The sequence below is a fragment of the Homo sapiens genome, chromosome 6 (assembly GCF_000001405.40).
Source record: "Homo sapiens chromosome 6, GRCh38.p14 Primary Assembly".
NCBI classification, from domain to species: domain Eukaryota; kingdom Metazoa; phylum Chordata; class Mammalia; order Primates; family Hominidae; genus Homo; species Homo sapiens.
The window spans coordinates 90,568,102-90,592,505 of record NC_000006.12 but is presented as its reverse complement, the minus strand read 5'-3'; the positions used below and the strand labels follow the sequence as shown (position 1 = coordinate 90,592,505).

General features: G+C 37.7%; 1 protein-coding gene and 1 long non-coding RNA gene across 8 annotated transcripts in view, besides 2 other annotated features; one reads left to right on the top strand and one right to left on the bottom strand.

Moving 5' to 3' along the window:
• On the bottom strand, positions 1,547 to 5,712 carry LOC124901363 (uncharacterized). 3 transcript variants are annotated; one of them, XR_007059679.1, is made up of 3 exons: positions 4,759 to 5,293; positions 4,551 to 4,623; positions 1,547 to 1,858 (listed from the first exon to the last, which is right to left on the bottom strand). It is a non-coding gene; the product is annotated as an uncharacterized LOC124901363 (long non-coding RNA). The 3 variants fall into 3 exon arrangements; XR_007059680.1 differs by having other exon boundaries at positions 4,551 to 5,712; XR_007059681.1 differs by lacking the exon at positions 4,551 to 4,623 and having other exon boundaries at positions 4,759 to 5,315.
• Positions 5,302 to 5,498: a silencer, noted in NCBI's record as "fragment chr6:91296727-91296923 (GRCh37/hg19 assembly coordinates)". NCBI's record gives its function as "represses an EF-1alpha promoter that drives an FKBP-Casp9 reporter gene in an ReSE screen in K562 erythroleukemia cells {active_cell/tissue: K562}" and the evidence as "EXISTENCE:reporter gene assay evidence [ECO:0000049][PMID:32094911]".
• Positions 5,434 to 24,404, top strand: part of MAP3K7 (mitogen-activated protein kinase kinase kinase 7) — a 73,494-nt gene continuing 54,523 nt past the window's right edge. For 4 of the 5 annotated variants that reach the window (NM_145333.3, NM_003188.4, NM_145332.3 and 1 more), the window contains exons 1-3: positions 5,434 to 5,742; positions 20,699 to 20,809; positions 23,883 to 23,948. In NM_145333.3, coding sequence (NP_663306.1) covers positions 5,623 to 5,742; positions 20,699 to 20,809; positions 23,883 to 23,948 — 297 coding nt within the window. In that variant the 5' untranslated portion in view covers positions 5,434 to 5,622. Of the gene's footprint in view, positions 5,743 to 20,698; positions 20,810 to 23,882; positions 23,949 to 24,404 lie in introns of those variants that run through there. The other variant, XM_006715553.4, reaches the window with a different exon arrangement.
• Positions 5,495 to 5,614: a silencer, noted in NCBI's record as "silent region_17400". NCBI's record gives its function as "represses an Ori minimal core promoter by ATAC-STARR-seq in GM12878 lymphoblastoid cells {active_cell/tissue: GM12878}" and the evidence as "EXISTENCE:reporter gene assay evidence [ECO:0000049][PMID:35858748]".

Here is a 24,404-nt window from a genome sequence, read left to right as displayed (position 1 = left end):
TGGAGGGTAGAAAATATAGAACAAATGCATATATTAAAGAAATGCTGCTCTCTAGCCGTGTCACTAAAATGCTGAGGGACTGGCTATCCTCTGCATACTCCAGTTCTGAATACAGTGCAGCAGAATACTATTTCTGAACTTCCTGGAAAGAATAATATTTAATTGGGTTGGGTGGGTTTGGGTCTCAGGCAGTAAAAATAGCACTTTCTAGGTGTGGAGCTTGTGTTAGGGCTTTCCGGAGAATCAAAACCAGTAAGATATATATAAGGAGATCTATTATGAAAATTGGCTCATGTAATTACGGAGGCCATGAAGTTACCCCATCTGCTTTCTGCAAGCTAGAGAACCAGGAAAGCCAGTGGTGTAATCCAGTCCAAGACCTGAGAACCAGGGGAGCCAAGAGTGTAACTCTCAGACCGGCTCTAAAGGCCTAAGGGGAGGACTGGTGTAAGTCCTGAAGTCCAAAGGCCAAGACCCAGGATCTCTGATGTCTGAGTACAGAGGAAATAGATGTCCCAGCTCAAGAAGAGAGAGTGAATCATCCTTCCTTTACCTTTTTGTCCTGTTGGGCTCTCAACAATGGGATGATGACTCCCTACATTGGTGAGGTCAGATCTTCTTTACTCAGCCTACTTAATCAAATGCTAATCTCTTCCAAGTACACCCTCGCCGACACACCCAGATATAATGTTTTGCCAGCTAGCTGGGTATACCTTAGCCAAATCAAGTTGACACAAAATTAACCATCACAGAGCTCAATCTGAATAAACATATGAATAATGAGCATTTGCTGGTTGCATACCCACCACCCATCAACCATTGCCTGCTTTGCTGTTCCTAAGAGTATTAAGATTTTCCTTCGGGTTAGCATCTCCTCCTCCTCCTTAGAGCCCATGTTTCCAGGAGCCCTCAATCTAAGTTAAACAACGTACAGTCATGCATTGCTTAACTACAGGGATAAGTTTTGAGAAGTGTGTTGATCGGCAATTCCACCATTATGTGAACATCATAGAGTGTACTTATACAAACATTATATACTTATATCATTACAAGATGACATAGCCTACTATACACCTAGGCTATATGGTATACCTAGGTATATAACAGCTATACCTGTTCCTAGGCTACAAGCTGTATAAACCATGTTACTATACTGAATACTGCAGGCAAATGTAACACAATGGTATTTGTGTATCTAAACATAGAAAAGGTACAGTAACGAAACAATATAAAAGATTTAAAAAAATGGTACACCTATATAGGGCACTCACCATAAATGGAGTTTGCAAGACTGGAAGTTACTCTGGGTGAGCCAGTGAGTGACTGGTGAGTGAATGCGAAGGCCTAGAACATTACTGTACACTACTGTAGACTTTATAAACACTGTACTCTTGGGTTACACTAAATTTATTTTTTAAAAGTTTTCTTCAACAATAAATTAACCTTAGCTTATTATAACTCTTTTACTTCATAAACTTTTAAATTTTTTAAAACTTTTTGACTCTTTTGTAATAACACTTAGCTTTAAAACACAAACACACTGAACAGCTGTACAAAAGTATTTTATTTGGATCCTTATTCTATACACTTTTTTCTGTTTATTTATTTTTTTATAGTTTTTAAACGTTTTGGCTAAAAAGTAAGACAAACATATGTTGGCCTAGGTCTACCTACACAGGGTCAGGATCATCAACATCACTATCTTCCACCTCCACATCTTGTCCCACCAGAAAGTCTTCAGGGGCAATAACACGCACGGAGCAGTCATCTCTTATGATAACAATGCCTTCTTCTGGAATACCTCCTGAAGGACCTGCCTGAGGCTGTTTTATAGTTTTTTTATGGAAGTAGGAGTACACTGTAAAATAACAATTAAAAAGTATAGTATAGTAATTATATAAACCAGTAACATAGTTGTTTATCATTATCAATATTATGCACTGCACATAATTGTATTATACTTTTGTATGACTAGCAGCATAAGTTTGTTTACACCAGTATCACCACAAACACGAGTAATGCACTATAAGTAATGTGTCATGCTATGACATTACTATGGCTACAATGTCACTAGCCAATAGGATTTTTTCAGCTTCATTATAATCATATAGGACCACTGTCACATATGAGGTCCATTGACCAAAAAATCGTTATGCAGCGCATGACTGTGTGTATCCTCAAGCATCCTGTTCCCCATCCCTCAAGGGTAAACTTACCAAGGGCTTTTGAAAAAGAATGTTTAACTGCTCTTCTGAGATGGCTACCAAGAGATGCTCTCGGTTGTACTTTGTGATGTGTCATGTGAAAAATGAAACTGCTAGTACATGCATTCTCAATGGAGGCAATAACACCTCCACAGGGGGCAAAAACTGGAGAGAGAAAAAATCTTACTCTTTTTACATAGAAAGCACAAATATACATACAATACATAAATAGATATACAGTGTATCTGAGGTATTAAAACTTTGAGGAGGGGCATTAAGATGTCTAAAAAGGCTCCTTAAAAGAACAATAATGAAAAAAAAGATTGAAAAACACTATTGTAGAATATAGCAAATACCACAAAAGGCAGAAGAGAATAATGGAAACTCAATTATTGATGTTATCATCAAGCCTATGATGGAAATATGGAACACTTGTCTGACATATATATGACCCAGAACATTAAAGTGGTGTTACTTTAGTCCCAGTTTCTGCTAAGCCTCCATTAAAATAGGTCCCAGATATCCCTACACCCAAAATGAGCCAAATAAGATCAGAATCTCATTTAGAACAAGCAAAGAGGTGGTGGGAAATGGATTTTGAAACCCTTGTCCTCTCAACCCCTGGAGAGTATAAAAGGGCCAAAATTGAAGACAGAGTTGGAAGTTAGAGAGTAGTTATTAGGGTGCTGACATGAGGGAGAATGGTGGAGGGTGCTCAAACTCGGAGGGACTTCAAGGAATTTACTTAAATAGTTTTGATATGTATCCGGAAACGTGTGGAGACACACAGACTGGTGACTGAAGTTGACATGAAATTCTGAGGTCAAGTTTCTATCCTTAATTCATGAAAGTTAAAGGAAATGCAAAGTCAAAATTGAAGTGAACTGAGAGAGGTTCAGCTCCCCTCCATCATTCCTCTGCATTTAAACTTTATTACTTAGGATTATTTGGTTACAAGTGACAAAAATACAACTTGGACCAGCTTAAATGAAATGGTAATTTACTAGCTCACATAACCAAATCACAGAATGTAAGAGATGGATTGGACCTTGGGAATGACTGAACCCAGAGACATAAACACTGATGAAACTTTCCATCTATTACTAGAAGCTAGGGAAAAGGCGCAGGCAGACAAAAAAGAAAAAAGTAATCTGCAAGCAAGTTGGACAAAAATTGATTTTAGACTGGCATCAATATTAGAAGTCCAAATCAGTGGATAAAACATAGAAGTGTTGGGGTAGAAGATATTCAAAATCATGTAATCAATTCACTTTGAAATGCATCTAGCAAAATGGTAGATGGATGTAAATATGGATGGAGAGATGAGATGCACATATGTATATTATGATAAAGCAAGTATAGTAAAATGTTAAAGGTAGAATCCTGGTGGTGGGCATATAGGTGTTCACCATAAATTCTTTCAACTTTTCTCTATATTTGACATTTTTGTAACAAAATTTTGGGGGGAAAAATCAAGCAGGAGAACTGCATCATGGCTGTGGTAATTAATTAGTCCTTTGTCAAGATTCCAGTCCTAAACTGAAGGTACAGGAAACATATCTTACACTCCAGGGAAAGGGAGGACTGACAAAAGCTATTCATTTGTACAGAATATCTAAGTATTTATTGAGTTCCCACCTGGCAGCAAGATCAAGGTGTTAAAAGGAAATCGGATATAGACCTGCAGAGTTATAGCACAAGGTAAGAAGTGACCATCCTTGTTTGGAAATGCAAGGGGAATGACAGGTGAAAATGACTGTCCCACTGATTATATCAGCTTCTACTGGGTATCAGTGCACCACGCATCATTTCACATGCCCTGATTTCTCACTTGGACAACCAACTGGGTGATGGCATCCTTAAGTGACATAGGAAAATAACATAGGAATATATTTGTGGTGGGTGACAACTTTTGAATTTGCTGTGGTATCTTGAAGTTTAGGTGTTTGTCTAAGTAGAGATGACCAATAGGTCCAGAATTCAGGAAAAATCTTGAGTATTTGGAGATTAGGAGTCATCATTATAAAAATAGTATGAGAAACAGAGACCTTGGGTAAGAGCATGCAAAGAGAGAGTGTACAGTGAAAAGAAATTATCGTTTCTTTCATTTTTTTATCCACTCATCAAACTGTCACTGCGTGTCACTAGAACTACGAATAAAAAGTGACAGAATGTTTCCCAGGAGTTTGTAACTTCTTGATGGTCAAATCCAATGATCTATTTGCAATCCCAAATGTGTTTAACATAATTCCACAGTTAGGCTTTATGTCAAACGGACTATATAAAATTCAACAGTTAGTTTAAAACTAAAACTTGTGCTGGTAGTACAACATGAGCAATACTGACCATCTTGGGGACAGAATGATCTAGTTTGTGAGGACCATAATTGCTTTAAACTCTCAGCGTGTTTTCTCATGTCCTGAAAATGGTGACAAAAATATTCGATTTTCAAGGCGACTGTTGATGATTCATTTACCAATCTAAAGCACTAGTGCCCCGCACTCGTAATCCATAACTTGAGATGAACACACCAAATTATAAATATCTTATTCACCTAATCCGTGGAAAGTTTGTAACACCAAAATATTAACTTCTGTTCTTGATCACTCAGCCTCCATAGTTATTCATGTTGCATGATCTGATTCGCTCTTTTAGAATTTCTCATAGCGTCAGGTACTAGCTCAAAATAACAGGAGCAACTGCTTCTTTCCATATCCCACATTGAGGAAAACACATTTTGCAAGCCGTCTTAAAGAAACAGGTCAACTTAGTTTAGGGATGAAACTTAAAAGTAAGCTTCGTCACAAAAAACACAGTTCAACACCACCTCGCCCGGCTGCAGGCAGCTCAGAGGACAGGAAGTGAGGCCAAGACATATTTCACGCAGCACAGACTAAACCCCAGCTTTTATCTTTCCCGCTGGTCCTTAAGGGACCAACCGTACTGATTTTCCGTCATGTTCCGCGCCACTTCCGTTCGCGCACTTTAATTACGTCAGGCGTCCTCTCTCGCGGTATCATCCGGTTGCTGAGGCCCTGTAATAAAGGTCTCGCGAAATTTGTTCTAGAGGTCCAAGTTTGCTTCTTAGCTTACTCCACCCCACCCCCAACCTGTCCCTCCTTTTCTTTCCAAGTCACAAAATTCTCCCCTCCCCTACCCCGGAGTTTACGGCCCTCCTCCTGTTTCCGATTTCAGCCCGGAACCGGAAGTGTAGTGGGCGGGGCCCGTCGGCGGAAAACGCAGCGGAGCCAGAGCCGGACACGGCTGTGGCCGCTGCCTCTACCCCCGCCACGGATCGCCGGGTAGTAGGACTGCGCGGCTCCAGGCTGAGGGTCGGTCCGGAGGCGGGTGGGCGCGGGTCTCACCCGGATTGTCCGGGTGGCACCGTTCCCGGCCCCACCGGGCGCCGCGAGGGATCATGTCTACAGCCTCTGCCGCCTCCTCCTCCTCCTCGTCTTCGGCCGGTGAGATGATCGAAGCCCCTTCCCAGGTCCTCAACTTTGAAGAGATCGACTACAAGGAGATCGAGGTGGAAGAGGTGAGCGAGGCCCGGCATGGAGACGCCGGTCCCGGCCTGCCCCGCCCCCGCCTCTGCCTGGTGCCGGCTCTGAAGGTGCCTCCCGGGGCCCCTCTAATTCGCGGGACCCTGCGGGGTCCACCCGGGAGACCCCACAGCCCTCAGTAACGTGGGAGTGGGGGTTACTCTCTGAGCTCAACTGCTCGGGAGTAGCTGCCTTTTTTCCTCTCTTGGGTACTCTTGATTTTGGATTTGATATTCCGGTGATAAACAGGAGAATGAACTGGTGAGATAGTGTGGTCCACCAGTTCTCGTATCTGTAAGTAGTAGTTTCAGCGAAGATCGTAGCCGTTCTGGAGTTTCAGTCCGCTGGACGTAATGTTCTTTTTTTTTTTTTTTTTTTTTTGAGACGGAGTCTCGCTCTGTCGCCCAGGCCGGACTGCGGACTGCAGTGGCGCAATCTCGGCTCACTGCAAGCTCCGCTTCCCGGGTTCACGCCATTCTCCTGCCTCAGCCTCCCGAGTAGCTGGGACTACAGGCGCCCGCCACCGCGCCTGGCTAATTTTTTGTATTTTTAGTAGAGACGGGGTTTCACCTTGTTAGCCAGGATGGTCTCGATCTCCTGACCTCATGATCCACCCGCCTCGGCCTCCCAAAGTGCTGGGATTACAGGCGTGAGCCACCGGGCCCGGCCGGACGTAATGTTCTTAATGGCCAAAGATTGTATTATATTCGACTTCTACTTCAGTACCTGGCATGTAGGGGATGCTCAATAAATGCTTGTTAAATTAGTAGATCATCAAGTCTAATAAAGTGTTTCCCTTAGCACCGAATGGTTCTCAATTTCTCCGATACCGCACAGCAATACTCGTAATGTTTAAATGCTCGGCTTTCAGTTGGGCTAATGTAGGTGAATTTCACCATAAGTAACATAGACTGGTCTACGATCAAAAGATGTTTCAAGTAGCATATTCTGAAGAGATAACGAATGATTTCGGTGACAATCAGAATATAATATTAGACTAGAAATCGCTATCAGAAAACCCATATCCTTTCTTTATTCTGCAGTAATTTATTTTAGAACAAGATATTTCAAAGTGACTTTAAAGCGTCGTTTTTCAAATTAACAGGTAAATTGGGTTCTAATGACTATAAAATTTAGAAAAGTAAAAACTGCATATATATTTTTTAAAGACACTTTAGAACTTGTTAAAAACTTTGGTTGAAAATACTATCTCTTACCATTTATTTGCCATTTTTTAAATTTATTAAGCACTTTGCGTTATATAGTCCATGAAAAACCTAGTGAAATATTATAGATTGTCAACGAGTTATGTCTACTTTAAAATTCTAAAATTATTTTTAAGTGTCAGCAAGTTCAAAGTAGTGAGATAACGTTCAACAAATAAATTTTTTTTCCTGTGCATGTTTTGGAAGAGTAATGGATTACTGAATTATATATGTTTTATCACATAAAGTAACTTTAGAGATTATTGAGAATATCCTCATTTTACAAGATAATATGGTGGAAAGAGCAAGGTCTTTGGAGTTAGAGGAAAGTTCAGTGTATCAGATATGCCATTTATTAGCTGTGTGATTTGGGGCAAGTTTCCTAACCCCTTTGAATTTTAGTTTACTCTAAGAAAGGGCTAATAAATTCTGTTTCATTTTATCTGCATAACAGATCTTAGTAGACATTATATGCAAAACACCTACCACAGGGCCTGACACATATTAGGAAACCTAGTTCCAGAGAGGAAATGTGACCTGCTTTAAGGTCATATGGCTAAAAGAAGACCTGTATTTTGAAAAGAGGGGGAAATGTTTTTAGTTTCTTTTTTTTTACATTGAGGCTATGATAAATTCCTTTTCCAGAAGTGGATAGTTGATGCAGCTTTCATGGCTAATATTCTTTTTTAAGAATAAAAATTCAGTGAGTCAGTATACAAGAATTGCAGTTTTTAAATAAGCGTTTACGTCTGCTCTGTGGTGAATTGCTATGCTTGTAGACTACAAATTGTTATATAATAATAACTTGTGCTTTATGGTCTACTAAATGCTTTCACAAACTTACTTCATTTGGTTCTTACAACCTTAGTTTTTGAATGCTACTTTCTAAAGCTTTTTACATTCTTGATTCAGGGAAAAACAAATTACTAAGGAGGTAGTTATCATTTTGATGTTCTTCCCCTAAAGCTATTTCGCTTCTGGTTAGGTTTCTGTGTTTCCAAGACCCTTCTCTCAGTTTAGATAATGTTTCAATCTTTGTGTGTATGTGGGTGTGTGTGTGTTTAGGAAATTTCTGGGAGTAGGTTTTTGTTTTTAGATGAAAATTTGTTTCTAATATCAGGCAGTCATTTGGGTTTTTTGTTTGTTTTATTCCCTTTCATGTTTAATACTTAGTTCATTTTTGCATTAAAGATTGAATTTGGACCTTTCTGATATTGAAAGCATTACATAATTTCCATCATCTTCTTCATTTGCATACATTAAACCAGTGTTACACAATCCAGGGTGAACCATGAACACTTATTAGCTATTTGTCAACTTAGATTACACTTCCAGTTCAATTGTAAGATAAACAGAGGAAGATGACCAGAAACAAAAACTATTTTATGTTGCTTCCAATATTTTATATTGTATGAGAATATTACCTTCTAAATTAAGAAAATCATGTATTTCTCAATGTAATTGAATTGTATTATATCAATATAATTAGAAACTGTAAAAAAAATAATAATTCAACTACAGGCCAAATATGCAGCCATTTAGTAGATACATATTTCTAAGACATTAGCTGATCTTGCATTTCTAATATTGTAACTCAGTAGTATTAGTTTGGCACATCTTAGATTCAATTCAATTCAGTCAAATTAGGTAAGGTCTCAGCCTCAGAAATCTGCCTAGGTACTTTTTAAACATCATTTAGTGTTTACCATCTAGAACTGGCTGTAGAGAATGTTGGAATAAAAGAGGGGATGGGTTGCAAGAAGTGTTACACAGGGTAGTATAGTGGAAAGTGTTCTGGACTGAAAAAGAAAATTTAGATGCTGTACTGATTCTGCCATAATATATTTTTGTAACTTTGAGGAAGTCACCACATTTTTCTGGGCCTGTGGTTACTCATGTAAACTGACTGAACAAGATCATTTAAGGTCTTTTCCAGTTCTAAAATGAAAACACATTCATGTTTTCCAGTATTTAACTGTTTTCTATAGTAAGCTTAGCAGTTCTTTAAAGACTGATCATGGTCTCCTATAGAATTCAGTTGGTGACCAACTAATCCTGGGTTGACAGGGCAAATGATATCCCATTGTACAGATATTGACAAGCAGTCATAGAGTTTGACTTGCCAGAAGCCGCATGCCTAAGTAAATGGTAAAGCTGGGAATTGAATATGAGACTTCTCACTTGTGAGTCAGTTGCCCTTTCCACTGGATTTACAGTGTCACTCAGTACTTTCTGAAGTACTCTATAACCAAACCTAATATGGGAAAGGGGAAACAAAATACTGATTTCCTTTTTAGTGTAGTTGGTCCTGAGCATTTAATGAACATTCTCATCTGTGCGTAATACTCTGAGGTACTATAAAAGATAAATAGGGCTTGGTGCGGTGGCTCACACCTGTAATCCGAGCACTTTGGAGGGCCAGTGCGGGCAGATCACTTGAAGCCAGGAGTTCAAGACCACCCTGGCCAACACGGAGAAACCCCGTCACTACTGAAAGTACAAAAATTAGCTGGGTGTGGTGGCACAGGCCTGTAATCCCAGCTACTTGAGTGGCTGAGGCATGAGAATCGTTTGAACCCAGGAGGCAGAGGTTGCAGTGAGCTGAGATCATGCCACCGCACCCTAGCCTGGACAACAGAGGGAGACTCTGTCTCAAAAAAAAAAAAAAAAAAAAGATGATAGAAGAATCCTAGGATTACCTCCTTAAAATGTCTGACTTAGTATGATATCAGACTGGAGTAAACACAGAACAGTTAACTATAGACCACAAATTTAAAACTGAATATAGTGTAAATTAAACACTTAAGCCATAATTTGAAAATAGAGTTAATCACAGAAGGTTCCATTGAGTAGGGACAAGTTTAAAACTAGGTTTTGAATAAAGTGACCATCGTGGGTTGGGAAAGTCACTAAGATGAATTTTCTTTGTAGTTGTTCCTCTGCCTAAAGCGCTGTTCCCCCATAACTTAAGATGACTGACTCCTCACCAGTCAAGTCCCACCTCAAATGTTATTAACACTTCCTTAGAGAAGCATTCCCTGAACAACCTAGATCTTTTGTCATTTCTATTATCTTTCATGGTACTTACCAGTAACTGAAATTGTGTCTCTCCTTCAGCAAAATGTAAGGCGCTTTATTCACTTTTGTAACCCCAATGCCTAGAACCTAGAAGGTTCTCTATACATATTTGTTCAATGAGTACATGAAAGTATCACAGCATAATCATAAGAATTAAATGCCCATCTTGTTCTCTTATATTACATGTGATAAAATAGGAGCTGAGTTATGCGATTTGGCTAAGGCAACACGTTAGAAATGAGATCCGAGTCTTGTTTTAATGTCGACTCTATTATAGTTAGCAGATACTTTTGTTTAGCAGGGATAAAAAATGCTGTAAAGGGCCAGATGCTATGAGTAAGCCACGTATGGTAGGTCTTTACTACAGAGTGCTAAAAAGACACTATTTACAATGGTTGCTTTTGAAAAGGGAGACCCATAATGCTGACCTCAACTATAGTGTAGGAACAAAGCTATAGTATTGGACACATAAAATTACTGCAGCATTTGTATATATTCTTCAGCTTTGTTAAGGAGACACACAAAAGTTTTGTTTTAAAAGCTAAAATATGCTACAAAGAGGAGATATAGATAGAACTTAAACAGTTATATGTACTTTGTAGGTTTAAGTTATAAATATATGGGGAATTGGTATTAGAGAAAAACCTAATTTATAGTGGTCTAAACAAACTGAGTACATAGATTTGTTAGTCACTATTTAATTATGGATACCTAAAATAATCAATACATTCTTTCATGTGAAAGTGACCACTGATTTCAGTAGAAATCTGGAATTACTATAGTTAAGAGGTAGCTACAGAGATAATTTTTGCATTGTACACGTGTAGCTTAAAAGATAGCATGAGCATATTATTTGAAATAAAAGCCTAGAAAATGGGTGAGATGTACTGTGGCAGGTATTAAAAGACTGCATGAAACATTCAGAAGAAAGTTTGAATAATCAAAGCTTTACTTTTATGTTATCAAATCCATCTTGTCAGCAGATGGCAGTTCCACTCTGCCACAGTTTATTAATAGATATTGAAGTTCTAACATAGTTGGAGGCTCCAAGTCCTAACTAATAAATGTATGATCTATGCTTGTTCTGTCTTGTTCCGCATTTCCAGCCAGAACAATGCCAGCATCACCAGGGGTCCATTCAGATAGTTCATAGAACAGGGCCAAATGAAACTGACAGCTGTAGTCACTGAACTAAAAATAACATGAATTCAGAACAATTAAAAGAATTATTTAATAATAAATTAAGAGCACAAAGGCATACATCCTTTTCCATTTAGGTTAGGTGTGTGTTTGGTTGTTTTCTTTAACATGACTTGTCTGAAGGAATGGAGTCATCTTACATCATAAAGAAATTAATTTTTAAAGGAATTTCTTTAAAAATAACACACAAACACACAAAACCTGATTTTTGTTTTTGTGCCTTTCAATAGTAGTTGCATGGAAATGTTCTATATACCATCTCATATTCTTCTGTATTTTTTATTAAGAAATTAAATTTAAATCTACTTAATTGTATGAGACTAAAGTTGTAGACCCAAAACAAAGAGGTTTCAACCATAGGGGGAGAAATGCTTATCATAAAGTAATTAATCAAAAACATTTTGATTTAGAAAACATTCATAAATTTAGAAGGAAATATTTCCAAATTGACCTCCCTTTTAAAACCAAAGTCCTTTTTGCATTCCTCTGTTTTTTACAAATGAAGGATTATGAAGAATATCTGAAATATTTATTTGTATGTCACCATTTTAGTTGGATGTGTGTGATGGGGAAATACTTGTAACTTGATATGTTCTCTTTTTTACTCTTGATGAAAATTCATCTTTGGGGAAAAAACAGTCATTTAAAATAATGTTGGGCTAGGTACGGTGGCTCACACCTGTAATCCCAACACTTTGGGAGGCCAAGGTGGGAGATTGTATGAGGCCAGGAGTTTGAGACGAGTCTGGGCAACATAGTGAGACCCTGTCTCTATAAAAAATTTTAAAAAACAAAAAACCTAATTGTTAATTACAGTGTGTCAAATAAACTGTATTATTCAGAAAAGAATACGGTTCAGAAAGCACGTTTGATTTGTGAACTTGGACTAGAAATTTGGTAGTAAATAAAAAGTGGCCTTCTTTCAGTGGTTTACAACTTGAATATTAAGTTTTTTCATTGTTTACCTCAGTTGCCAGTATGTCTCAAGAGTGGCCATCTATGCCACTTTTTTTCTGTTGATCTACCATATGTCAAGAAAAATATCAAATTTGCTTTCTGTAGTTTGTAACATTGGCTCATTCCTTATCTAATAATGTACATAATCTCCTTATGTGTTTTTAGGCTTGGCCTTTGCAGTCCAGACATACTATTATTCTACATCTGATCTTCTCCACGATTTTATGTTCTTGATTAATACAATAAGGAAATTTGTTACCAAGATATTTGCATTTGAAACATTTTCTTAGAAATATGTGATATATTTTTTAAAAATCTATACACATGTAAGATTTTCCCCAGTCAGTGGAGTGCTGTTTTACATAGCCTGAGAGGTGGAGTGCAGACAGTAATGAACTTTCTTAACCAGCGTTTCCTGTTGGAGCGGTGGTGTCCACAATTTTTTGTTTGTCTGTCTCCCACTGGTAAAACAAAACACTTTCTATTTTGTATACTCAGTTTTCAGTGTGTATGTATGAAGTCGGTATTTTTAAACAATGGGAGATGAAAGGTTTCATACTATCATTTGATCATGGCTCAAGTTGCAATAAGTACTTTCTAAATAAAACCTTTCTAAAATGTGAGAATTGACTTAATTAAAATGAGATAATATCTGTAAATCTACTTAACTAAGGTCAAGTAAACTACAATATACACAAGTGAGGGACTGATAATGGAGTCAGTATTTGACATATTGAACTTAATAAGCCTGTAGGACCCCTTAGTCTCAAAGGCAGTTTTAAATATATCTTGAGCTTGGGCAAAAAACCTGGATGGGAGAGATTTGAGAGTATGAATCCATGAGATTAGAGAACAGATTCAGAAACAAAAGGGCCAAGGACAGAACCCTGGAAAGTAGCAACATCTAAGGTTTGGACAGAGGAAGGAAGAATCAGTGAAGGAGGCTAAAATAGAACTCTTAAGCAGAGACAGGCAGAGAAGGGATTGTTGACAGCCATCTTTGGAGACTGCCATAAGCCCTTTATACACAAGCCTTCTATTAACCCAACTTCACTCTTTTCTTAAAGGAGATTAGGGCTTTTTAAAACCCCCTTCTAAACAGCTAAAATCTGATTCGAATATAATCTTTTGAAAAGTTAATTGTTGTTAGTTATCATACTTGCTGCCTTTGAGTAGCATTTTTCTCTGTACCAGGCACTGGACCAAATCCTGGCAGGCCTCTGTTTTGTTGGCACCATGAAACATACCTGAAAGCTGACTCTGATTTACTAATTACATGATCCTTGAATAGGTAACTTCAGTTCTTGGAGCCTTGGTTTTCTTCTCTCTAAGGTAGGAATAAAAAATCCTATATATTCATGGGTTTATGGTGACACTCAAACTCCATCATATTTGTAAGAAAGAGCTTTACAAGTTGTAATATATTGTTAAATATAAGGTTGCATTATCGTTATACAGATAATAAAATTGCATTTCTTTAAAATGTTATTTCTTGAAGAAAGGAATGAGAAGTATATTGGAATGCCCTGGGAAGCTTTTTTTATGCTACGTAGCACCTTCTGCCACCTCTAATTCCCATTCAGACTTCTCCCTTAGAGAGCTAATATCAGAATGGGGGGAAGGAGAGCAAAATATACCAGGAAACAACTTTATCCATTGTATATATCATCTGATTATTCTATCTTCTACTCTTATGGATATATGCTTATACTCTTTTTTGTTTAAAGCACAAAACTCCTGTCTCTGGCCAGGTGCAGTGGTTCACGCCTGTAATCCCAGCACTTTGGAAGGCCAACCCAGGCAGATCGCCTGAGCTCAGGAGTTCAAGACCAGCCTGGACAAGATGGCAAAACCCCGACTCTACTAAAAATACAAAAATTAGCTGGGTGTGGTGGCACAAGCCTGTAATCCCAGCTACTTTGGGGTGGCTGAGGCAGGAGAATCACTTCAGCCAGAGAGGCAGAGGCTGCAGTGAGCTGAGATCGCGCCACTGCACTCCAGCATGGGCAACAGAGTGAGACCCTGTCTCAAAAAAACAAACAAAACAAAACAAAACAAACTCCTGTCCTCCTGCCGGTATTTCTTACTTGTTTTTAAAAGTTAAGAAATGTAACTATTTTTCTATAAACTACTGTTTAATTATGAGTCATTCCTCTTTTCAACTCAGTAGAGAAAAGCATTTAATCTTGCCACAACAAGGATAATTTCCATGTAATACTTACCTCTTTTATGTATCTTTGTACTCAGAAATTTCAAGATTAATTCGGTTATTTCAAAATTCAGTCTTCCCCCATAAGGATTTTCCTTTTCCCTTTCTCCTGCCCAAGATGACATATGGGTGCTGTGGAAAGCTTCCACAAATAATATAAACAGCAAGGGAGAGCTCTCTGGTCTGTGTGATGGCTTCCACTGAAATATCTTGCCTTATTATCTGTTGTTAATGGATTAGCCTTGAATGCAGTGATTTTCAAACATTGAAACTACCTGGAGGGCTTGGTAAAACATGGATTGCTTGGCCTTACCGTCAGACTCTATAATTCTGGGTTGCACCCTGAGAATTTATATTTCTAATAAATATCCAGGTGATGTTGATACTGCTGAACCGGAGACCACACTTTTAGAGCCACTGGCATATGCTTTCACTGTCCTTATATCTGCTTTCCTTCTGGAACGTCTTTTTCTTTTGGCTTCTCTGACTCTCTCCTAGTTTGCCTGCTACCATATTGACTGTTCCTTCCTGTTCCTTGCCCATTCCTTCTCCTCTCTTGTGATCTAAATGTTGAACTGCTTCAAAGCTCAGTTCCTCTACTCCACTATCTCCATATTATTTTTGGTTACCTCTTCCAACTGATTGACTAGAAAAACTGACTACATGCTAATGACTCCCAAGTTTGTATCTCTTTGTCTGACTTCTCCATAGATCCTCTCACTCACGTTTCTACCTTCTTACTTGATATCTCCTCTTGGATATCCAGTAGGCATCTTAAACTTCATATGACTAAAACCAAACTCTGAGTTATTAAAAAAAAATCTGCATCATTCTTATCCCTCAGTAAACTGTTGTCCAGTCTAGGTGTTTTCCTTGATTCAGCTCTTTTCCTCTACACCTGTCCTGCCTGGATGCAGAGCATCAGCAAACCCTATTGACTCTACTTCTAAAACATTTCCCAGATCTGCCCAGTTTCTGCACTACCATTGACCTTGCCCTCGTAGCTATTGTTGCTTGTTTGGACTGCTGTAATGGCTTCCTAATGGGTCTCTATTTACATATCCTAGCTTCCCTACAATCCTTTCTTTAAGAGCTATAATGATTTTGTTTAATGTCACATACCATCCTTACTTCCTTGAATTTTTTCAGTTCCTTCACATTGCACTTAGACTGAAATTCAAACTCCTTTTTATGGTAGGTAGAGCCGTTCAGGATCCAACCTCTGCCTGTCCCTCCAGCCTTACCTTACAATCACTCTTCCCTTCCTCCACTATACACCAGCCACACCAAACACTCCCAAGTATTTCTCTAAATCATCACTAAAATGTCACCTTTCTCAGTGAGGCCTTGAGTGATTACCTTGTCTAAAATTGGAGTGAGGCAGAGTGCATACATGTGTGTATACACACACAATTATACTCCTTTTCTTCTTAGCACACAACTCCCTTCCTTTTTATTTGTCTTTTTCCACAAGAATATAAACAATGAGAACAAGGATTTTGATTTGGTTTGTTCACTCTTGTATCATCAGTGCCTAAAATAGCGCATAGCCCTTAGATTGGGCTCACATATTGGAGTAAATAAGGTAGTGAGGTTTTTCTTTTCCCTTAGGGCAAAGCTTTATATTAGTTGTTTCTTCTGTGTGTGTGTGTGTGTGTGTGTGTGTGTGTGTGTGTGTGTGTGTGTGTGTGACAGAGTCTAGCTCTGTTGCCCAGGCTGGAGTTCAGTGGCGCGATCTCGGCTCACTGCAACCTCGGCCTCTCAGGTTCACGCCATTCTCCTGCCTCAGCCTCCCCAGTAGCTGGGATTACAGGTGCCTGCCACCACGCCCCGTTAATTTTTTGTATTTTTAGTAGAGATGGGGTTTCACCGTGTTAGCCAGGATGGTCTCAATCTCCTGACCTCGTGATCCGCCTGCCTCAGCCTCCCAAAGTGCTGGGATTGGTGCCTTGTGTCATCCAAATGTCAGATTCGTAACCTCTTTATATGGCCTTTTCAAACTGCCCAGCCTGGAGCTGCCACTAGTCTCTTGGTCATAGCATCCTATTTTTTGTTGTTGTCGTTGTTCTATGTGGCATTTTTTTAAAGTCTGATTTTTTTCTTACTCATCTTTTGTTTGTATATCGATTTTCTTTTCTCCTCCCCTCCCTTCACATACGCTAGAAAGTACATTTGTGTAGATCAGAGCCTTTGTCTTATTTCTTTCTGTATTTCTGATGTCCCAAACAGTAGCTGGATGTAGTACACACTAAAGAAATATTGGTTTAAGGAGTAAACAAACGAAGTTCATTATTCTTTCAACATCAAGCCTCACTTGCATCCTTTGAAGGCAGAAGACCTAACCCAGTTCTCCCTGCTTGCTGACCAGGCCTTCCCCTTGGCTTTCATTAATCCTCTGAAACCCAGCTGTGTTCTTCATTAAGTATTTGAGCTAGCTACCATCCCACAGACCTCTAATGTAGGTCCCAACACTCTGCCCTACCGCAGCCTCCTTCCTGCAATCAGAAGACTCCTTACTTCTCAGTTAGCTTGCTTTTTGCTTCACAAGAGCTTTTCTTTATCCCTTACGTGTTCTACTGGGGCTGAGGGAACCCGGGTTAGGGCCTCCCTTGGTCTGTCTTCCTTGCCACAATCCTTACTCCTTTGAAGCTTCTGGTGTTTGCAGAGCACATGCTGTGAGGATGCCTGCTCTTAGGGATCTAAGTGAGAAGAGAAGGGTATGAGTCTTTTTTGCTGTTGAATCCCTACCCTAACCCTATCCTGAAAAGGGGGAGGGAGGAGTTTATTAGCCTTCATCATTAGCCCTTACCTTTGGCTCTCTTCAGCTGGTAAGTGTTTAAAAGTTTTTAAGTACTATTATTTAGTCTTAAATTTCTTCTCTACCGCACTTTCATTCCATGAAGGCAGGGGTCCATTCTTTATATATATTTTTTCTTCTCATCCCCAGTGTATCTACCTTTATGCTATTTTTAAAAATGGGAAGTCATTTTTGATACACACAAACTTAATTCTTTAAGTATTGACTGTGCTTATAATCTCACTCCTTTGAATTCACAGCAGTTATTATTTCTATCCTGTATTTCAGGTCAGTACAACCTTGGACATCTTCACCTTTCTTTATTATAACTTTAGATCCTGTCATTTCACTGTGCATGTGAAATATCTCGTGGCCCTAATAAGAATGGAGGCTTCTTAAGCCCATGGGCTCATCTTACAGGAATGTGCCTGTTTTGTATTTCAGGGTGTTCTAGAAAATTGCTTTCTTGAGCAAAAAGGAGAAAGTTTTTCATGTCCTCATTTGACCACATTTTGTTCCCATGGCTTTAAGTTGAAAGCTCAGAATCAGCTCTACTCTCATCACTAGGTGGCACTTGTGAATTACAAATAGTCAAATGAATTTTTATGACAAACATGTGATTCACAAATATAGATAATGTTTGGAATCCCTGCATGGACGTTCCTCAAAATGGAAGAAATGAAAGAAGGGGATTCCTAGTAAGTACCAGTTGCTGTGATGTATTTATAAATACATGGTTGAAGAATAAATTACTTCATAATCATTTCGTATTTAATAGTAATATCAATAGGTAAAGTCTGGTCTCCATGCCTGTGTTCTTAAACTAATGTTGCCACAAAGTTGAAATTTTTTTAGGACCTGCTTGCTATTCATCTTAGTTAATTGCAAGAGAAGTGAGTACTACAGGTCAGGTGCAGTGGCTCACACCTGTAATCCCAGCACTTTGGGAGGCTGAGGCAGGGCGATTACTTGAGTTCAGGGATTCAGGACCAACCTGGGCAACATAGTGGGATCCCATCTCTACCCAAAAGAAAAAAGAAAGAAAAGAAATGAGTACTACAGCCCTTTACACTGATTCATACCCAATTCCAAGCACTTACTGTTCTTTGTAGTATTTGAGGAAATACCTGGTTTTAACTTACGAATCCTGTAGATATTCATGAAGGAAAATGTCAGCACTTCTATTTTACTGCTGAGAAAACAGAAACTCAAACTTGTCCACCATTAAGAGATAATAGGTAGACAGAGCCCTACATTCAAACTCAAGTCTGTTGGATTTCAGAGCCTGGGTGTGCTCTTTCATTTATTCTAATGGTACCAGGTAGCCAGTACCCTCTATTCACAATAAAGTAACTGAATGGCAAGTACAAATGTCTGATGAGAATTGTGAAGGAGAACAAGAACCTAAACCACAGAACACTGAGTGCCCAGGGCTAGGACGAGTGAAATGGGAAGTCAACAAAACAAAGACTAGCTACCAGAGAAGTTGGCCTACTTTGAAATTTTGCCTAGAGGCAGCCCCATTTCCTTTAAGCCACTGATGAACAGAAGCTGAATATAGAGTATGTTCATCATTAGGTGCTCTAGGCTTCAAATTCTGGCTTCTCTGAATATTTTCTGACCATCCAATCTTGGGCAAGTTACAACCATGTGACTCCATTTGCCTCCCTTTTAAATGGAAGAGGATTAAATGTGTTAATGTATGAGAAGCACATAGAATAGTACCTGGCACATAGTAAACATTCAATAAATGTTAACCATTTGAGTAGCTTTAGACATTGAACAACATGGTAAATGTTCATTCTGCCTTATTGATACATGAAGTGGAATTTAAGCTATGGCTAGAGTGGTCATACACATCGCAGTTTACAACTAGTGTCCTAATATTATTATTATTAATGCCCTTTTTTTGATCTCCAAAGTGCCCTCAGTTAGATAATAACTCATTTGATCAACCTAGTTATAGTCAACTTTGTTATAGAAGAGTTTTGTGCCAGGAATTTGTTCATGTAAGTCTAAAGTAAAAGTTCCTCCAAGGGAAGATACTAACTTCTACTTCCCGACATGGGGCTTTATATATGTTACAAATTAGGACTGGTAACATTCCCGTGTTAGACTACCTGGCATCAGACTGCACTTTAACACTTGCTAGCTATATAGCCTTGGGCAAGTTTTACTTCTTTAAAGCTAGGCACTTCAACTGTAAAATGAGGACAGCATTAGTACCTTCCTCTAGGCCTGTGTAAATGAGGTAATGTATATAAAGCATTAGTTAAGTGCCTGCTGCATAGAAAGTACATATAAATATGGTTAAGAGATGCAGATTTTTTGCTAAAGAAAAAGGCCTTGATACAAAGTGCTTAGGTTCATTGGAAGCTGAGAGATTGGAGTAGGTGGTGCTTAACTAAGGTCCTTTCACAATGATAAAATCTAATGATTTTATTCTAACAAGTATCAAAAGCTATTTTTGTTTTCTTTTTTTATATTATGAAAAATGTCAAATATTTGTAAAAATAGGACTCCATGAGAGAGCAATGAACCCATGCAGTATTCATCAGTTGGCTTCAACAATAGTATGATACATGTCTGATCTTTATTTTTATGACTTTTGAAAAATAACTGTAATGAGATCTATTTTACACATCATAAAATTCACCCATTTGAAGTGTACAATTTGGTGGGTTTTGCAAATTTACCAGGTTGTCAGCCACCACCATAAATTAGGTTTTTGGTTTTTTTTTTTTAATAATTTCATCACTTTGTCAGGATACCAGCTACTCATTTACTGTTAATTCTAATTTTCACCCTCGGACCCAGGTATCTATCTATAGATTTGCCTTTTCTGAACATTTTGTATAAATGGAATCATACAATATGTGGTCTCTGGTGTCTGACTTCTTTGACTTAGCATAATGTTTTTGGAGTTCATATCGTAAGTAACATATATCAATAGTTTTTCTTGCGGAATAAAATTCCATGGAATAAATAATACTATATTTTGTCTGTCCTTCATAGCCGGTCTTTTAACATCTATATTTATATCGTTTCTCCTCCATTCCCTATCCCTGTTGAATTATTCAAAGGCTATTTTTAATTTCTTAAATATGATAGCTGAAAATATTTATTATATGTTCCTGCTTTTTGTTTTTCCATATCATCTTCTGTCTTCTCATTCATCTTGTCTGTTTTAGTTTTTTTTTCTCCATTTAACAAATCACTTTACTTTGTTCCTCCATGTGTCTTTTTTGGTTTTACTTGAGAATGAAAGGGTGTACAGATCATAAACTTTCAAAGATAGAGACAAGCATGCATTTAATTATCTTCTCACTTTAACAAAAATTCATACTTGTTCAGTGGCAAATCCAGATACTGTTGATTTCCATGTTTTTTTTTTTTTTAATTTAAAGTCTTAAAGATTGACTTTAGTTTTTTATATTGGGCTGATCTATTTGATTCCGATTCTTGTGGTGTTTTTTGTTTGTTTTTTGTTTGTTTGTTTAACTCAGGTTGTTGGAAGAGGAGCCTTTGGAGTTGTTTGCAAAGCTAAGTGGAGAGCAAAAGATGTTGCTATTAAACAAATAGAAAGTGAATCTGAGAGGAAAGCGTTTATTGTAGAGGTAAGTTGAGATTTCATTTCTTTTGTGTAGTTCTGCACTTAAGATACTCTGTGAATTTAATATTATGAAAAAGATTGGTTTCTCAGATGTCATTTCTTTGTATACATGAACATCAGCAATTCGGTTTAATCAAAGGTACTGCCATAGGAACATTTTCTCGTTCATACTCTTAATTCTGATTAAAAATTAGGGGAAAAGCGACTTAACTACATAAATGAATTCACCCCTGAATTAAAACAGTTTCATCCATGGAATTCAGATCTATTTCAAGGCGTAATATTTTAATTTTAAAATAGAAAAGAAATGGTATGCTTTCCCATTATCTAAAATTAAGAAATTTTATACACTTACTTTAAATGGAATGTTTTTAGAAACTCAGATTATTTTAAAGAAAAATTATTTCAAATTTGATTTTTCTCATTTAGCATGAAAATTTGCACCTATTCTTTTAGAAATAGATTAGATTGAATGATGAAAGAAAATCCAATAATCATGAAATTAGCATATTATCAAATTTATCCTTTACTAACTTTGTTATTTTGTATTTTGGATCACATTATTTAGTTAAATCAATGTTTTTATCACTATTAAACCTCATTGGCCAATGGATAAGTGGCCTGTACCTTATAAGCCTTCTGAATTTATATCTCTGTTTTTTCATTTAATCATAATTTCAAAATATACTTCATATTTTTAATGTATAACATGGAAAAATGAGGACTTAATTGTGATATGAGAAAGTGATTTGTAAGTGGCTGAATGAGTTGAGAAATGCTGATAAGTGATTTGATGTCAGCATGAAGAAAGATGATTTCTAGTAATATGTTCTAGGAGTCTAGCCTCAGCTTTGTTTTATGCAATATTTTTATTACAGTTTAGATAAAGCTATTGATCATTTCCTGTTACATTAGCAGTTTCACAAAGCTGGGTGAAATAGCATATGTGTTAAACATTAGGAATCACAAGTCAAAAAGATCGTAATAGCGTGAAGAAAATTTTTTAAATCCAGATGAGATGTGCATGTAATGTAAAAAATCAAATGGTTCTCCAAAAATTCTTAGTAAAAAAGACTTCAGTCTCCTGTACCTCCTCCAATCTAATTTTCTGCTTCCCAAAGACAACTACTTTGAGCTCATTCCTTCATGTTTGGTGTCCCCAGTCCAGATGCTGTTTATTACCCCTTCTCTAAAGAATCAACCTCTAGTCTTCTGCTGGGATGATAAGAGATAGTCATTGAGCTGTTTGAAGTCAAGGAAGGAATCTTTGAGTCTTTTACACTGTCCCCTGCCCTATCCTTTGATTAGCTCATTTGCATAGGTACCTCATTCTGCTGCCACTCCCCAACCTTTTGGAAGCTTTGTGAGATAAATCTGGTTGTTTCTCCATTTTTCTCATTGCCAGTTTATGATGCAGCTCTTCTAGGTCTGCTCTATCAGTTATTGCTAGTCATTTGCTTTCCAGCTTCCAAAAATGTATGCTGTTTGTGCACTTTGCATTCTCTTCATCCTTCTGAGGTTATGCCTTAAAATTTTTCAAATCTTTACCATCTTAGTGGGAATTAGGGAGAGAGGAGGAAAAAATGCTTGTATAATCTGCTATCTGAATCTCAGTGCTGAACCTTAGCAAGATGAAATATAGTAAATATATTTTCATATAGTAAATAAATATAATAAATAGTGATACTAATTCTATTGGACGAAAAATCCACACATGTTGGCTCTAGATAGATAGAGCTTTTTATTAGCATACAGTATGAAGGTTTAGAGACATTAGTGTACTGAATATGAGCCAGCAGCATAATGTATGTAATAGAGAAGAGGAAGAAGAGTGGAAAAAGGGCAGAAAAGAGAGGAGAAGGGAGAAAAGAATGAGCAAGAAGCAGTTTGCTGTGGAGCGGGATGCATTAATAGAAAGAAGTTTGAAGACAGACATGATGGTTCACATCTGTAATCCCAGAACTTTGGGAATGGCAGATGGGTTGCTTGAGCCCAGGAGTTTGAGATCAGTCTGGACAACATGGCAAAACCCCATCTCTACAAAAAATACAAAAATTAACCAGGCATGGTGGCTGTGCACCTGTAGTCCCAGCTACTCCAGAGGCTGAGGTAGGATTGCATGAGTCCAGGAGGCAGAGGTTGCAGTGACCCAAGATTGTACCACTGCACTGCAGCATGGGTAACAGAGCAAAACCTGTCTCAAAAGAAAGAAAGAAAGAAAGAAGTTTGAGATCTAGAATAAGAGAAGTGAGTATAGCCAAACCCCTCATTGACCTCTGTATGGATCATTGGATCAGGGATGATTAAAACTGAAAGAGGGAAACCAGCTAGTAGGCTATAATGATCACTGCAGCAGTTCAGGTTGGGATTACTAAGGCAATGGCAGTGGGAATGGAGAGGAGAGAATTAATTCAAGAAATGAGAAATGGAATGGAGGCAAGTATACAGAGGGAGTGCACATTTTAAGTCAGATAGACTAAAGTTCACACCCCACTTCTTAGCTATAGAACAGGTCATTCAACCCTCTCTGAGACTTGAGGTTAAAATCTCATCTTTAAAATGGAAATGATAATACCTACCTTGCGGAGTTGTGATAATTATACAATATCTATAAAGTGCACATTAGGGCCCCACGCAGAGTAGCTAGACTGTTCAACTATAGCTATGAAGATGATAACAATGATAGCATGACGTCTGGTTTGGATAATGCAGCTCAGTACCATCTCTGGGATCATATCCTAACATTTCTTGGCAGAGTTCATCTCTTCTTATTCTATATACTCATCGTGCCTTGTTCATAACTCCTGTTATAGCACTTTGCACATTGATTTAATTATTTGTTTAGATGTCTATCTCTCCAGCTAAACTGTATGAGCTGGAGAACAGGGATTCTGTGCCATTCTGGGCAGTCACTTGGTATTTTCAGTGACTATGATTGCAATGCCTGTTACATAGTAAATAGTGATTGTTGAATGATTTAAACAAATGTTTTGTACAACAGTAAGATTTTAATGATACTGTGAAATCAGTACTTCAAAAGTTATCACTTTTTAAAAGAAACCTTAATTTCTTAACAGCTTCGGCAGTTATCCCGTGTGAACCATCCTAATATTGTAAAGCTTTATGGAGCCTGCTTGAATCCAGTAAGTTTGTTACTTTTTCATGGTCACCTGTGAGAAATGACATGGCAGATGTGTGTGTGTAGTTTATGTAGCTATTTTTGGGTTTTTTTGTTTTTTTTAAGTTTTTCAAAAATATTATATTTTTTCAAGATAAAAAGGTACCTCCAATACTTTAAAATATCAGCAGTGATCCCAATAGTTCAAGGACTATATGAGTACATGTGGCTATTATACACGCACAATATGTCACCAACACACTCTAAATAGTGAGAATACAGCACCGTGGCATTGCTCCCATATTATTATTTTTTTCTTTCTCTTTATGTATTTATTGAGTTACTTACTTGTTTTTGATATCTTTTTTTATTATACTTTAAGTTCTAGGTTACATGTGCACAACGTGCAGGTTTGTTACGTATGTATACATTTGCCATGTTGGTGTGCTGCACCCATTAACTCGTCATTTACATTAGGTAT